We start from the raw sequence: 16230 nt of genomic DNA, 5'->3' as shown, positions 1-16230 counted from the left end.
GCTAACACGGTGAAACCCCGTCTCTACTAAAAATACAAAAAATTAGCCGGGCGTGGTGGCGGGCGCCTGTAGTCCCAGCTACTCGGGAGGCTGAGGCAGGCGAATGGCGTGAACCCGGGAAGCGGAGCTTGCAGTGAGCCGAGATTGCGCCACTGCAGTCCGCAGTCCGGCCTGGGCGACAGAGCGAGACTCCGTCTCAAAAAAAAAAAAAAAAAGAAAAGAAAAAGTGCTGTAGTGGTATTAAAACTATTATCAGAGCTGTCTGAAAAAGAAATCAAACTATAAAAGTCTATAGCCTTCCTACGAGATAGATTTCAATTTGACTCTAAGTTTTCTGGAGGCCAAATAAAAAGAGAAATCTGATCAATTTCATAATTTACAACATCCATGATAAAAGCAAACCAATTTATTCAGGAGAAGTGCAATTATTCTTGCTACTAAAACCTGAAAGAAACTTCTCCCAAGGGTCACCATAAAGAGGACACTATAAAATATAATGAAATATGCCTTGAACAGTATCTTTATGACAGATACCACTAGGAGTTTCATAGAGCTGTTTTTTATGACATCCCTCACTATATTTTGATGGCCTAGCTATAGAGTTCTGTGTGTGGTTTAATGGAGGCATAGATTTTTTAGTAACTGGAAAAACAGGTGGACAAATCTTTCAAAGATTCCTCAGAACATCTTTAGCTTCACGTAGTTTTTTTTTTTTTTTTTTTTGAAAAATCTGATGGCAAAACATCTCAGAACACTTAATTTGTTAATTACCTGAACAGTTATGGGCATCTATAATTTACATGGTGCCCAAAGGAAACACAAGGAACAAAACAATTTCCTGGAACCAAAATAACTACTTTCAGTTATTCTGGGAAGCCAATCAGTATAAATAAAGACATTATTTACAAATTGTATTATTATTATACAATTAATGTAAATGTATGACAGATGCCCTGAAAGAAAGTAAGTTAGTGCCCTTTTGTGAAAGCTGAAGTTACTTCAGTTCCAAGGACATACTGTAACACAGACCAGGTTTCTCCTCAAAAAATAAATTTGAAACTGCTCTAACATACAGATTAATGGTCACTTGCTGAATCCTCTACTCTGTTTAGCACGGTCACAATGCTTCTTTGGAAGAGTCTTAGTGTCACTCTACTGCAGTTTTTATACTAAAATATGTGTCCTGTGGCTATTGCTACCACCGCTGTGGCTTTAAAACTAGAACCTGAGAAGCCTTTGCTATGTCTTGGAGCTGTCCCAGGAGACATGGGGAGAGGTGGAGCAGAGAAGGCCAAACAGCAGAATCTCTGTCTTCTCTAAACATGTATCATCCACAGAAGACTTTTTGCTTAAAATGTAAGAAAGTTTTTGACAAGTAGTTTTTAAAATATGTTGTTAAAACACTGTACCATCCTGTGCTGTTTCTACAATTTTGTTTTTCTCTACAGAGATTATCAATTCATGTATTCAGCAAATATGTACTGCTCCTCTGCTGTTTTCCAGGCTTTGTGTCAGGATCTAGATATACAAGGTTATATAAATCAGGGTCTTACAGCTTAAAATTTGTGAAAAGATTTCTAAGTTTACCAAAGATTAGGCTGCAGTGTGGTATCTGCTGTGGCAGGGATACACCCACTACACACCGCAAGGGGATAGTGAAGGCGTGACCAGGTCAAATGAGACTCAGTAGAAACTTGAGGAGCCATATGTAATAGGTAAGTCTTGCATTGAATCTTGAAATGTGACAGAAATTTAGAAAAGCAAAGTTGATAAAAGTCATTTTAAGTAATGGAGTAAGTAAGGGAGGAAATGTCAAACAAGATGGCAAGTTGAAAAACAAAGAGAACAGGAAAAGGTCAGATTATGAACACCAGCTTGCTTAAACAAGAAATTTGAACCAAAATATAAGGAGAAATAATAAAACAAAACAAAACAAAAACTTCAGAATAAAACCATGAGCACATTTATGGTTTGGAAATATTATTCTGTCATCATGATAGAGGATGAAACTGAGAAGCTAAGAATAGAGTTAGGCAGTGTAATTAGGAGGTTATGGGAGCAAACAGGAAGAAAATAAATGGTAATAAGAAAATAAATGGGAATTAAGCCAAAGAAATTGTCATGAGAGGAGGGAATGATAAGAGATAATAGCAGGATGGAACTTGCTGGATTTTGTGACTTCAGTGGCCTATCTGTCCTATTCTTTCTCTTTTGAATAAACAATGGTGCATCTTATAGTGCTACTTTTATCTATGCAATTTTAGTGCCATTTTCTGATCCTCATATATATGTCTACATATATAGTCAAGCTTTTAAAAATGTGAAATGTTATTTTTTCCTATTCACCAAATCTTATATAGCAGTACACTTGAAACTTGAACATTTAATCACTTAGTACATTCTGCCTGCATAACAAAGCTCAGCATTATAATCCTGCACTTATTACAAGATCTGTGCTGTCTGGGATACATTTACACTTCAATGACAATTACAATGCTTTCATCTTAACAGCCTCTAGTTTCTGAAGGATCGAGTCTCAAGGATTATGTTATAATAAGAACAAAGGATATTGACTACTTTTCTTCTTTCTGAAATGCTTTACTAGCTAAATAAAAGTGAAACAGAATTTATGCCAAGATATTTTCTCCCTGCAGGAAAACATAATGGAAGTTATCAGAAATCAAGAGTTTTTACTCCTTCCAGCTGAGGAGCTCCATAAACTACTGGCCAGTGATGATGTCAATGTTCCTGATGAAGAAACCATCTTCCATGCATTGATGATGTGGGTCAAGTATGACATGCAGAGTAGATGCAATGACCTGAGCATGCTTCTTGCCTTTATAAGACTGCCACTGCTTCCACCACAGGTAATGATGTGTGACGCTGTTTAAATAGATTCAATGTACTGAAAAACCCTATATTAAAAGTAAACATCAAAACACATTTTTAATTAGGTATTCACATTTTTAAATGCTTTTATCAAATACTACTTTTAAGTTAAATTTGATGGTGGAAAATGATGTATGATGATGGATCGTGGATCTAAATCCTATCTCTGCCGCTTATTGACTCATGGCCACTTGTAAGATTATGATAATATCACTTAATTTCTCTGATATTCAATCTCTTTATAAAATGTGATCATACTGCCATACAGAAGTTTTGTGAAGATCCATTAGATAATATATATGTAAAAAGCCTAATCATAATACAGTGTCTCCTGTCAATTATTTGATATAAGATGCAATAATGTGATCATCCATTGATGTAAATGCATATATTGTGTGATTTTCAAAGCTTCAGTGCATGGTATTTCAACCTCTGCAGAGGAATAAAACATACCTGAATAGTAGAGAGTTATGATTTAACAGTAGTTAGCAATTAGAATTATGGAATATGTAATTGGAGTTAAGAAGCCTCTAGACACCAAGTGAGCCAACTTAACTTTATCGATGAGTTAAGTAGGGTACAGAAAAATTAATAAGAACATGAAGTTCACTCAACTTAGAAGAAGAGTGGCTAGTTCTCTCTGATTCTGAGTCTTGTATCTTTAAACTAATTTGCTACAAAATTCTCTATGTACAGCATTGTTAATTCAGGGTTTCTGGCTGGTAAAGTTATCCAAAAATAAGCTTGAAGGTGACCCTAACTTCTAAGTTGATGGGTAAACTTGTTTGTATATATAATTTGTGTGAGGGAAATGGGAGGCTTATCTCATTCACCAGATTCCTCATTTGAATCCAAATCACAATCAACATTTTTACTAATCCATATGTTACTAAAAATATAAAACAGAGAATTAGGACATTTAGTAGAAGAACAGTAGGCAAGTATGAAGTATTAACAGTAAGTGTAGAAGTGGGATTTATGGTCATATATTAAGAATGGAAAGTTAGAAACACATTACCGTAATTGAAAAAAAGAGAAGCTTTATAAATAAGTGATAATTATATATCCTTTGGCTGCTGAGATTAGTACAGGAGAAAAAAACAGCAAAATAATTTATGGAATTCAAATTATGTGAGCACATCATAACAACAGGCTCTTACAAAGAAGCGGAAACATGCATTTACATACCTAGACAAAGAAATTTTGCTGCTAAGTACTGAATTTTTGCAAATCTCCCAGCTTGGGTTCTAATGCCAGGTAGTATCTATTAGAGTTTGGGCGGGTAATCTTTTGGGGAAGAAATAGCCAATGATCACTATTAGCCAGAAAGCCAATGATAGTTATCAGTTAATGACAGATGCTGTGACAGTGGGTACCTTTGACTCTGGCACAGTCATTACTCTCTTCCCATTTCTACTGTTGGTTGAAATGTGGGGAGTTTGGAATTATGTTGTGCACAAAATCAGAAATAGTAGGACACATATTAGAGTAGGTCAAGAATGTGACCAGATTCCTCTTCTCAGGATATGTCATTCTTTTATGCCCTCGTTTCCAACTCTTCTGTCATCAGTTATAGGGAGATGCTGCCACCTGTGCATGTCATTAAATGGTTACATCAGATCAGAGATGTCCTGTTGGCTTTTTTGTTCCTAAGGCTATACATTATATGTGGAATTTTATTTCTTATTGGTTCAGGTGCTTTATCTTGCTTAGTGAAGTAATATTTATTAAAATTAAGATATAAAATATTCTTTTGATGTCACTATTAACAAAATTTTAAACAGTGTGCGATAGACATAAATGTAGCATATGTCTATTCTCCATTCCTCATCCTTCAAACTGGGGCTATCACACATTATAACTTTATATGTACCTTCACAACAGATGTGCAGGAGGAATGAACGGAAATATTTTCTGTTTATAAAATGTCTTCATATAAAAGAAGGGCTATCACTTCTACAACTAACGTTAATGAATTATGTGTCATTATAAGCATATTACATATATTTCTAATATTAAAAAACAGATGCAAAGTAAAGATTATTAAATCTGTTACACAGAGGAATATTAGGCTCAAAGAGGTTAAGTGATTTTCAAAGTCCATAGAGCTAGTGGAAAATCAGGTTTTCCTGCAAACATAGGTTGGCCAGATATGAATATACACAGAGATATTTCTACAATATGAGTGCCATTTCCCTGTTTGCTCTCTAACCTGGAAGATCATAAAATATCCTGAATTAATCAATTTTGAAGGTTCTTTTAAAGACACTGAAGATGGAAGAACAGCAGTTTGATAGGAACTTAAAGGCATTCATTTATTTCTTTAGTTACCAAACGATTTTATCTCATTTAATTTCTACAAAATCCCCATGTAGTTGATACTGTTATTCCCATTTGACAAATGAGTACTTTGAGAATCAGCGTGATTGCCATCTTCTTTAGTTTTAAAGACCAGATTTTACTCCAATTGGATCTGACAGAAATGTGGATCTTCTATCACTAAGGGGAAAAGAGTACAATTTTTTATTTAGGGTTGGTTTCATATTTGCCTCAATGTCAAACCAGAATGAAAAAAAAGTTTAATTGAATAAAGGATTTTACAGACTTGCACATGGACTTTCAAAGCTGCTAAACACCTTTGGGTCCTTATGAAAAGCTATTAAAATGGTCAGGAAACATTTTTTGCTGCTCTTGGATTCATTAACGTAAGGTTTGTCCATGCTTTTTTTCGAATGATTAATATATAGGTCGCTTATAATCTTTAAGTGATTTGTGTGCATATGTTGTGAGTATTTACACATGCACATGAGATGTTTGTGTGTGTTGCTACCAAGAGAAGATAGAATATGTGGAATTTCAAACACAATATGTTAGATGAATGAGAGAAAAATAGGAAAAAAATAGAAAAGAGTTGTAGTGGTAGGGGAAGTTATTTTGAGAATATGTCACAGCAATATTATAGCATAAATGAGAGTGGAAATGTTAAAAGTACCATGAATCAAAGTATTATATACTACTGAAGTAATCACATAATTTCTTTTATATATATATTTTTTATTATACTTTAAGTTCTAGGGTACATGTGCACAACGTGCAGGTTTGTTACATATGTATACATGTGCCATGTTGGCGTGCTGCACCCATCAACTCGTATCTCCTACGACAGGCCCTGGTGTGTGATGTTCACCTTCCTGTGTCCAAGTGTTCTCATTGTTCAATTCCCACCTATGAATGAGAACATGTGGTGTTTGATTTTTTCTCCTTGTGATAGTTTGCTGAGAATGATGGTTTCCAGCTTCATCCATGTCCCTACAAAGGACATGAACTCATCATTTTTTATGGCTGCATAGTATTCCATGGTGTGTATGTACCATATTTTCTTAATCCAGTCTATCATTGTTGGACATCTGGGTTGGTTCCAAGTCTTTGCTATTGTGACTAGTGCCACAATAAACATATGTGTGCATGTGTCTTTATAGCAGCATGATTTATATTCCTTTGGGTATTCAATCTTTCTCTCTCTCACTCTCTCTCTCTCTCTCTCTCTCTATATATATATATATGCATACACACATATATGTGTACACATACATGTATGTATTTATATGTGTTTATATACACACACGTAATGTTACATATAGTGTAACATATAATTATATATTGCTTATTTAATATATAGCAAAACACAATGTTATATTTTAAAATACTAGCAATATTTAAAGGAGGCAAGAGTCTATATTTTCTCAGTGAGGTAAGAGATGATTTTCAAAAGGAAACAGTACTTGGTCTAATTTTTGAAGGAGACTTGATTAATTTTTGTGTGTGTTTGTAAGGTAATTCCTGCAGATGTAAATGGCCAATTTCAGGTGAGTGAGAGAACAATATTTGAAAGACTCAATGTGGGCTGCTTACAAAATTCCTCACCAAAACATAACAAAACACTGACCAAGACAAGAGTATAACAATTAAAGAAGATTTTAAAAGATATTTAAAGCAAAAATATATAAATAAAAAAAAACAGATGTTTCCAGGATAGTGTTAAACCATGTAATCTGTAAGTACTTTTATAGCAAGGAGTAGCTATGATTGTATTTAGTAAATGCATGAACACATTTCTAGAATAAAGAGTAAAAACAAAAACAATGAAAGAGACTTCATCAACAAACAGAACATGTTAAAAGAACGATTAGTGCCAAAAATTAATTTAGCTTTAATAGCCTCTTGTGTTCATGAGGCAACTGACCAACTTGACTTGGACATATTTCAGTTCTATCATTTCTGCCCTCCCATGTGTTTTATTAGTAGGCCCATTATGTGTATCTGGGCTTTGTTATTTCTTAAGTACACAGAGAAAATCAGATATTCTTTATTAATTATAAATTAGCACATTAAGTTATGGTAATTTGGTGTAGAAAATATAACAGAGGATATGGATTTCAGATAAGAGCAGTGTAGACAAAAGGAGCTCAGGAAAGGAAGACAAGGTATGAAAAAGACTCAGAAGCAACACTGTTGCTCTCTGTCCTCTATTGAAATATAATAACTAATCCAGAAACAAATTCAGTTATTTACTTTGCTATAGACCAGAGAAAAAGGGAAAATGATAGTGATAGATAACTGAGTTATAATCCAAGAATGAATTACACTATTTAAAAAAATAAGTTATGAATGGAATTTTTTGTAATAGTTTTCATATTTTTCCTGAATAGCCTGAGGCTTCACAATTTCAGCAGTATTAGAAAACATATAGAAATTTCTGTCCTTTTAGAGAATGACTGAAAAAAAAATATATATATATAGTTTACTTAGAGGATACCTGATTTGATTTACTCATTATTCTGCTATTTTTCTTTCTGGGATTCAACAAAGTACCATGTTGCTATAAAATAAATAACGTGTTTTAACATTTTATAACAATTATTTCCACTGATTTTAATTGAATTCATAAGATATTTCTTTGTAGTATGTACTTAAATATTTACTATGTATGAATTTTAAAAATACCCATAAGTATCAGATTTTTGCTATATTATTTTCTAATGAATGGCTTTAAATGTAAAAGTATGTTGTTTAAAAATCAAGAGACTATAATTCTACATATTATCAAGTCAAAAGGTGCTCAGGGGAATTCAGTTTTATCATGGTCAGAGATTATTTAGAAGGTTGGAGATATAAACTTTGCTTCCTAGCTCAGAATTGGTAGTGTTTATATCTTTTTTTTTTTGGACAGAGTTATGCTCTTGTTGCCCAGGCTGGAGTGCAGTGGCACAGTCTTGGCTCACTGCAACCTCTGCCTCGCAGGTTCAAGCGATTCTCCTGCCTCAGCCTCTTGAGTAGCTGGGATTACATGCATGCGCCACCACGCACGGCTAATTTTGTATTTTTAATAGAGACGGGGTTTTGCCACACTGGTCAGGCTAGTCTTGAACTCCTGATCTCAGGTGATCCACCCGCCTCGGCCTCCCAAAGTGTTGGGATTACAGGCATGAGCCACTGCTCCAGGCCGGTATTTTTTATCTCTTTTAAGACAAAAGGAAACATTTTTCAAACTTCCTAACAATCAAACCTACTGATTCTTAAGGGAAATATATAGCAATGTGTGTGTGTGTTTGTGAGTGTTTATGTGCATGTACATTTATTTTCTGTAGCAAAAGGTAGAAGAAAAAAGCTTGCAATGAAATAATAGAATATTGCCTAGATTTAGAGGAATATGGTTTAATCTAATAACAAGCACAATAAAATAACAAGGACATTCAAGTATTTAACTTTAGAAGACAGATGCTGTCTCTATTTTACATGAATTAAGTCTCTCTGTGTAAAGCTGAATAAATTATTCCAAAAGATTACTTGTAGTGGTCATAGCAATGCAAGAAGGAAGGGTGAGGTCTCCAACCTTTTTCATTGGAAAAGTGACTATTGATCAGATACCAGTGACATACGGACTCTTCATGACCATAGAAATTATAGCTACAACTAAAACATCTGATTTATAAAAACAGTTAGAAAGAGTAAATCAATATAAAAGGAGCCTTTTGAAATCACAGTGGAAAATATACAGAGCAGATTACACTCAAGAAATTTATACGTTATATTTGATTTTACCTCCCCAAACTACTCCTTGATAAGTGTCTCCAAGGCTAGCTGCAAAAATGCTCACTGTTAAATGTGTTCTGTATGTTATCTTTACAAAGGAAAAAATTAAAACTCTTATTTTCTTACAAATGAGTAAGGCCAAAATAATTAATCAAGCCCACTAACACAATCCATTAACAATCATTGTTACTTTTTCAATGTATTTTTCCCCCTTTGATTTGCTGGCTGTCTGATTAGTTAATGATTATACCAGGCCATCATTATTGAGATAGTCTTCTCTACAAAGCTAGATTGCAGGAGTAAGAAAAAAAAAAGAATAGGATTACTTTTCTCCAAAAGAAATCTTAAAAACAATGCCTTTAAAACAGAAATACATAGACAATAAATAATGCTTCTAAGATCAATAAATTTATCCTAAATGATACTTAGATTCATGATCATTTAGCCCTCCTGTGACATTCACCGTTCAAGTTACAAAATTTAAGAAAAGACAAAGTGTTTTGTTAGCAAGCTTTAAGTCAGCAGAGGTATTAATATAATAAAAGATATGCAAGGACATTCACATGCACAAACTCCTCATACATATACATGTTACTCTCTTTGGTATAGCAAAAAATAGAGAAGAATTTGGAACATAATCTGAAAGTCTTTATTTTCGTTACAATATATTAAGTGTTTCTGCTTGAATCAAGGGTTGATTCCACTGGATCTATTTTGCATCCCATCTTTCTTGCCAAAGGGGTTCCACTACTGCAATGAGCACTTCTTACATTATCAATTGTATCAATTTTTAGTCTATTTTGGATAATTCCAATCAATTTACAAAGTTCTGTTGTTTCAAACACACAAAATTAGTCATATTCATTTTCACTATTCCAGCTCTCTTTTGCCTTTCCAACATAATATGTAGTTATTTTTTATAATTATTAAATGTACTTTTACTTAACCATCATTCTCTCTTCAATCCACTTCAATCAATCATTTGCCCTAATGAAAATCACCAAACTCCTCTATGGTGTAATTTTCCCCCCAATCTCAATTGTGTTTGACACAGTTGATTTGATCACTCTTGCTCAACTGTCGTTGCTAATTTGTTCTACTCTCTGATGTTACAGTGCCCCAGGACACTATATTTTTGGTGGAGAAAATATCATTTAATTTTATACTTTCAAATGCTATGTAGAAACAAATTACAAAAAACAATTTACCTGTAGTCCTAAATTTCTTCTGAAAAACAGATTCAAGGGCCCAATTAACTACTTGACAAGATTTATGCTCTTAGGATAAAACCTTAATATCCCTATCCTACAAAGCCCTACATCATTTACCCCAAAGCTACTTCTCTGAACTCATATTCTGCCAGCTGTCAGTATTCTTCAGCCATACTGAACTTCTATTTCTTGAGGAAGTCAGGGTTATCCAAATTAAGTTGGTTTATAAGCATCTTTACATACTACAGAATATTATACATAGCATTTACCAAGAGGACACAAAGTGCAAGAACAGTTATTTTTCTCAATTAAACATTAAAGGAAATTCCATTTTTTATTCATCTATATTTTATATTAAAATGATGACATTAATATAGGGTATAATAATTTGTAAGTAAAAGAAATATTGTGAAACATCTGCAGTAAAGCAAAGGCCATTTAAATCATTAGACCTTTTCCAGTGATTTTAAGATTTTGGAAAACTGAATTAATTAAACTACTTTAATATTTTAAGTGGAGATATTGAGTAGATAGTCGAATGCATCATTCAGGAGTTGTAGAAGGATGGCCAGAAGGTATTAAATAGGAGATTGATAGCATATAGACATAATTTAAATACATAACATAACATGATATCACCAAAATAGTGAGTATAGAGAGATAAGGGAAGAGGACTATATAGTCCATTAGTACCAACTGATTCTGGAGACTAGAAGCAATGGCATTTAAAGGGGAGAGGATTGTAGTGGCAGGCACACACTGTGAGAGGGAAAACACTAAAGGGAGGTGCATAGTCTAGAGATAATTTTTAAAAATTATTTTTGTTATTCGTATGAGTACTATATCTTGCCAATTCTAAACAATTACTGCTAACATCCTCCTACCTGTTAGGATGAACTGCCCCACTCCACCCCTCAATTGAGATTGCCTAGAAGGTGGTCACCCATCATGACTAAGTCTTTTTATTAATCACGTTTCAGCTTAAATGTTTACTGTTCTTAGAATTTTCACCTACTATATTCTTGCCTCGTTTAGTGGTTTATTTCCCTTCTTACAACTATATTTTTGAGAAATACAGATGTAGAGGTCTTTTCAAAAGTTCCTGGCACAGACAATACTCAAATTTTTACTGAGTAAACAAATACAAGTTTATTCTTGGTCTTAGCAAGTTTAGCTTCATTTACTTTTTTAAATATATATACTTTAAGTTCTGGGATACATATGCAGAACGTGCAGGTTTGTTACATAGGTATACATGTGCCATGGTGGTTTGCTGCACCCATCAACCCATCATCTACATTAGGTATTTCTCCTATCTGTTGATATGTTATTTGTCTGGAATGTGAGAGAAATCTTTATACTTTTATGTGGCAGTGGAGCTAACAGTGGGTGCTAAGAACCCTGCTGTAAAGAGTTATTAGAGCATATTGATTCAGACTTGACTAAAAATCCCTTATTGAATGGACAAAGGGAAGGCAAACTTAAACAAAACATAATATCCATCTTGTCACTCAGATAAATTTATAAAATATAAATATATCAAAGTTCCTCTAATACCTAATTTGAGAGAGAGAGAATAGAATTGTTGAAATATTTTTTGAATATGTTACAGTGTGTGGTATTTTGTGTGCAAGTGTATGGATTGAATTTAGAAAAGATAATTGGAAAATTATTTATGTCCACTAAAGGCATAAATATGTGTTTGCAGATGTTACTAGGACAGGAGACCTGATGATATGTCTGTTTATTTGGATCCTACTTTTGACTAACATTAGTTCACTATTTGATCATGGAAAGTATATTAAGTTTCATTGGACCTCAGTGTCCACATTCCGGCAAGGAGGAATTTGGACCTATAATTTTAGGGAATTATTTTGACAATAACACTATATGAGTAAAAATAAGTTATAATTTCCTAAGAATTGATGTCTATTCAAAGTTAAACTGCATAGATAATTTTATAAGGAAATAAGATGTGTATGCCTCCTACTGTAGTTTGGACATTCATCCCTCAAACCTCATGTTGAAATTTAATCCCCAGTGTTGGAGGTGGGGCCTAATGAAAGATGTTTGTGTCATTGGGGAGGATCCCTCATGAATGGCTGGTGCTGTCCCTATGGTAATGAGTGAGTTCCCACTCTATTAGTTACACAAGAGCCGGTTGTTAAAAAGAGCCTTGCCCCTCCCACTGTTACCAAAAAATCCCCGTTTTATTCTCCTGACAAATAACAAATGATTCTCCATGAGAATGCAGATTTTGATCAATAGGAGATATATTCTTGGCACAAGTAAGGAGGCCACTGGGAGTATTCTCAAAAGGAGTGTCTCCCCAAGAGAAAGTGACGGGAGGGTTTTATGGGGTGATAGAGAGGGGAGAGGGTGCATCATTGCATGTAGAGATGGGGTCCTAGTTGCACAGACACAGTGAGTCATCACGCTGGCACATGGATTGTGTATTATGGTAATGAAGATATAACTCCTCTCAGGGTGGAGACTTTGGCATGGTAATGAGGAAAGTTTACTCCAGTGCATCTATAAGTTGCTGGGATCTGTCAGAAACTAGTTTTAACCAACTAGGTAACTTTATGTCATACAAGCTTTAGAAAGTAACAAGCTACAGGAGGCTGTAGGGCAGGAGGCTGTAAAACAGGCCGATTGCTCATGTTTATTAAATTACTGTAATCCCTGGAGTCCCCCCTATGTACTTACATCCTCCCTCTGTCTTGCTTCCTCTCTTACCATGTGATCTATGCACATGCTGGCTTACCTTCACCTTCTGCCATGAGTGGAAGCAGACAGAGGCTCTCACCAGAGGCAGGTGTAGGTGCCATGCTTTTTGTGCAGACTTCAGAGCTGTAAGACAAATGAACTTGTTTTCATTATAAATTATCTAGCCTCAGGTAGTCCTTTATAGCAACACAAAACAGACTTAGGCAGAAAATTGATACGGAGAGTCAGTGTTGCTATAAAGATTCCTGAAAATGTGGAAGCAGCCTTGGCACTGGGTAACGGGCAAAGATTGGAAAAGTTTGGAGGGCTTAAAAAATAAAGCAAGATGAGGGAAATTTTTGGAACTTCTTAGAGATTGCTCAAGTGATTGTGACCAATATGCTGATAGAAATATAGACAAGAAAAGCCATACTGACAAAGTCTCAGGTGAAAATGAGGAACTTATTGGGAACTGGAGCAAAGGTCACCCTTGTTCCACCACAGGAAAAAAAAAAAAAAAAGTTGGCCGAATTGTGTCCATGTTCTGGGGTTTTCTGGAAGGCTGAACTTAAGATCAATGATGTAGGGTAGATTGTGGAAGAAATTTCTAAGCAGTAAAGTGCTCAAGAAGTGATATAGCTGTATTTAACAGCTTATAATCATATCAGCAGCCAAGGAATGACTAAAGGTGGAATTTATAGTAAAAAGGGAAACAGAGCATAAAATTTTGGAAAATTTGAGCCTGGTCATGTGGTAGAGAAGGAAAAAACAGTTTCAGAAGAAGAATCCAAGGATGCTGTGGAGCAATCGCTTACTAGAGAAATTAGCGTGACTAAAGGGGATCCAGGTGCTAACAGTCAAGATCGTGGGAAAAGTAATTTCAGAAAGTCTGGAGGCAGCCCCTTCCATCACAGGCCAAGAGGCCTAGAATGACAGAATGGTTTTGGGGGACAGGCTCAGAGCACCACTTCCCTGTGCCACTTTGGAGTACTGCTCCCCATATCCAGGCTGCTCCAGCTGTGGTTTAAAGGACCCTGGGTACTGCTTAGGCCATTGTTCCGGAGGGCACAAGTGGTAAGCCTTTGCAGCTTCCATATCTTGTTAAGTCTGCAAGTGCCCACAATGGAAAAGCGGTGGAAGCTTGGCAGCTTCCACCTAGATTTCAGAGGATGTATCAGAAAGCCTGGGAGTCTAGGCAGAGCCACCACAAAGAATAACTGCTAGGACACTTCCCTGTGGAACTGTGAGAGCAGAGACACTGCCCTCCAGACCCTAGAATTATAGAGACACTGGCAGTTTGCACCTCAGCCTGGAAGAGTTGCAAGCAGTCAGTTTCAATCCCTGAGAGCGGCCACATGGGCTGCACCAAGCAAAACCACAAGACCATGAGAGCCCACCTCTCACCTCTCACACTAGTGTGCCCCAGGTGCCGGACATAGAGTTACAGGAGATGATTTTGGAGTGTCAAGATTTAATGTCTCTCCTGCTTGATTTTGGACTTGCATTTGGCCTGTTACCTCTTACTTTGGGCCAATTTGTCTCTTTTGGAATGGGAATGTTTACCCGATGCTTGCATAACCATTGTATCTTGGAAATAAATAATATATATATATTTTTATTTTGTAGGATCACAGCTGTAACTTGCCTTGAGTCTCAAATGAGGCTTGACTTTTGAGTTGAGGCTGGAACAATTTAAAACTTTTAGGGAGAATTGGGGTGGCATGATGATATTTTGTATGTGAAAAGATACAAGATTTGATGGACAAGAAGAGAAATGCTATGGTTTGGATGTTTGTCCCCCAAAAACTCATGTTGAAATTTGCTACCCAATGTTGGACTTGAGGCCTAATGGGAAGTGTTTGGGTCGTGGGGTAGATCCCTCATGAATGTCTGGGTGCTGTCCTCATGGTAATGAGTGAGTTATTGCTCTATTAGTTCTCTGGAGAGATGTTGCTAAAAAGAGCCTGGTACCTCTCCCAGCTTCTCTCTCTTGCTGTGTGATCTCTGCACCAGCTGGCTCCCCTTAAACTTCCACTACGAGTGGCAGCATCTTGAGACTTACCTAAAGCAGATGCTCATGCCATGCCTCTTGTAAAGTGTGCAGAATAGTGAGAGAAATACAACTATTTTATTTATAAATTACACAGTCTCAGGTATTCTTTGATAGCAACACAAACTGAGACACCTCCCCATCTTAAAAGCATACATTTTTATAATGTCTAAAACCTATCAATTTACTAAAGGAGAACAAATAAACAAAACACCCTGCAGAACTCTCTTTTTGCTCGACAAATAAATTATCTCTTGTATGCTATAGTTTCCTTCCATTGTAGTATTTTTTGTAATAATCATTACTCACAACTTTTGAATGACAGAAAATGCTACAATTTAAAACTAAATAAACTGTGTAAAATTAGTTTACAACTTCTGTAATTTAAAATATTCCTTAGAGGGAAGAGAGCCATGTGATGGGACCACAAGTAGGTTAAATTTTCTCACACATATGTTGAAACAGTTACTACTAAGATTTTCATTTCTAAGAGTATCAGAAAAATATAGTTTATTATTTTAAACACTCTGAAAGCTGAAACAAAAATGTCCTAGAGAAGAGCAATTCCACAGTGACTATTCAGAGAACCAGACAGATATACACTTTTCCATTGGAGTTAAATGGAGGAGACCTAGAGGTCACCCAAAATAAAAGTTTTTACTTTAATAATATTCAAAAAGTAAAACTACACTGCTATTGTTAAAAGTGATAAATATTTGTTTAGAATGTGGTCATAAATATTCAAAATTCATTGGATTAGTCTTTCAAATTAAGAAATAGTATCTTAGAAATAATCTTGTTGCTGCTGAGTTTCAAGTGATTTTATATTCTAAACATTAAGAAAATAGTGCACATATTAAATTAATATTTTCTACATATAAATCAAAATTTCTAATTTAATACTCTGAATAAATTGGAAGAAATTTTATTTACTTTCCATATGATAAATTTTAAGTTACTGTAAACAGTAAGGATCGGCTATTATCAGAAAATTATTTTAGGCTTCTGTCACTTAACTTCCTCAGGTAGAATTTATTAATGGATACATTACTTTCCCCCTTTTTTTCTTTTATATTACAACCAATAATTTATACAACATTTTTATATTTGTTGATTTGAAGTGAAGTTCACCCCCGATATTTTCTAGCTGCCGTTAGCTTCCTTATCAGGCCAATTCAGGTCTGCTTAGAATTGATTTTTTCATAATTAAAAAGTGAGTGAATTACTACGTGATGCCATACTGAACTGTGTACCCTCCTTACTTTCATGGATTATGAT

At 35.0% G+C, this 16230-nt stretch overlaps 1 protein-coding gene across 4 annotated transcripts in view; it reads left to right on the top strand.

Moving 5' to 3' along the window:
* The window catches only part of KLHL1 (kelch like family member 1), a 407856-nt gene that overhangs the window by 223303 nt on the left and 168323 nt on the right, over positions 1-16230 (top strand). For all 4 annotated transcript variants that reach the window (NM_001286725.2, NM_020866.3, XM_017020678.3 and 1 more), the window contains one exon: positions 2655-2867. In NM_001286725.2, the coding sequence (NP_001273654.1) occupies positions 2655-2867 (213 nt within the window). The remainder of the gene's footprint in view (positions 1-2654; positions 2868-16230) is intronic.

This window comes from Homo sapiens, chromosome 13 (assembly GCF_000001405.40).
Source record: "Homo sapiens chromosome 13, GRCh38.p14 Primary Assembly".
Lineage (NCBI taxonomy): Eukaryota > Metazoa > Chordata > Mammalia > Primates > Hominidae > Homo > Homo sapiens.
Note: the sequence above shows the minus strand (reverse complement) of the source record. Positions and strands in the feature narration are given on the sequence as shown.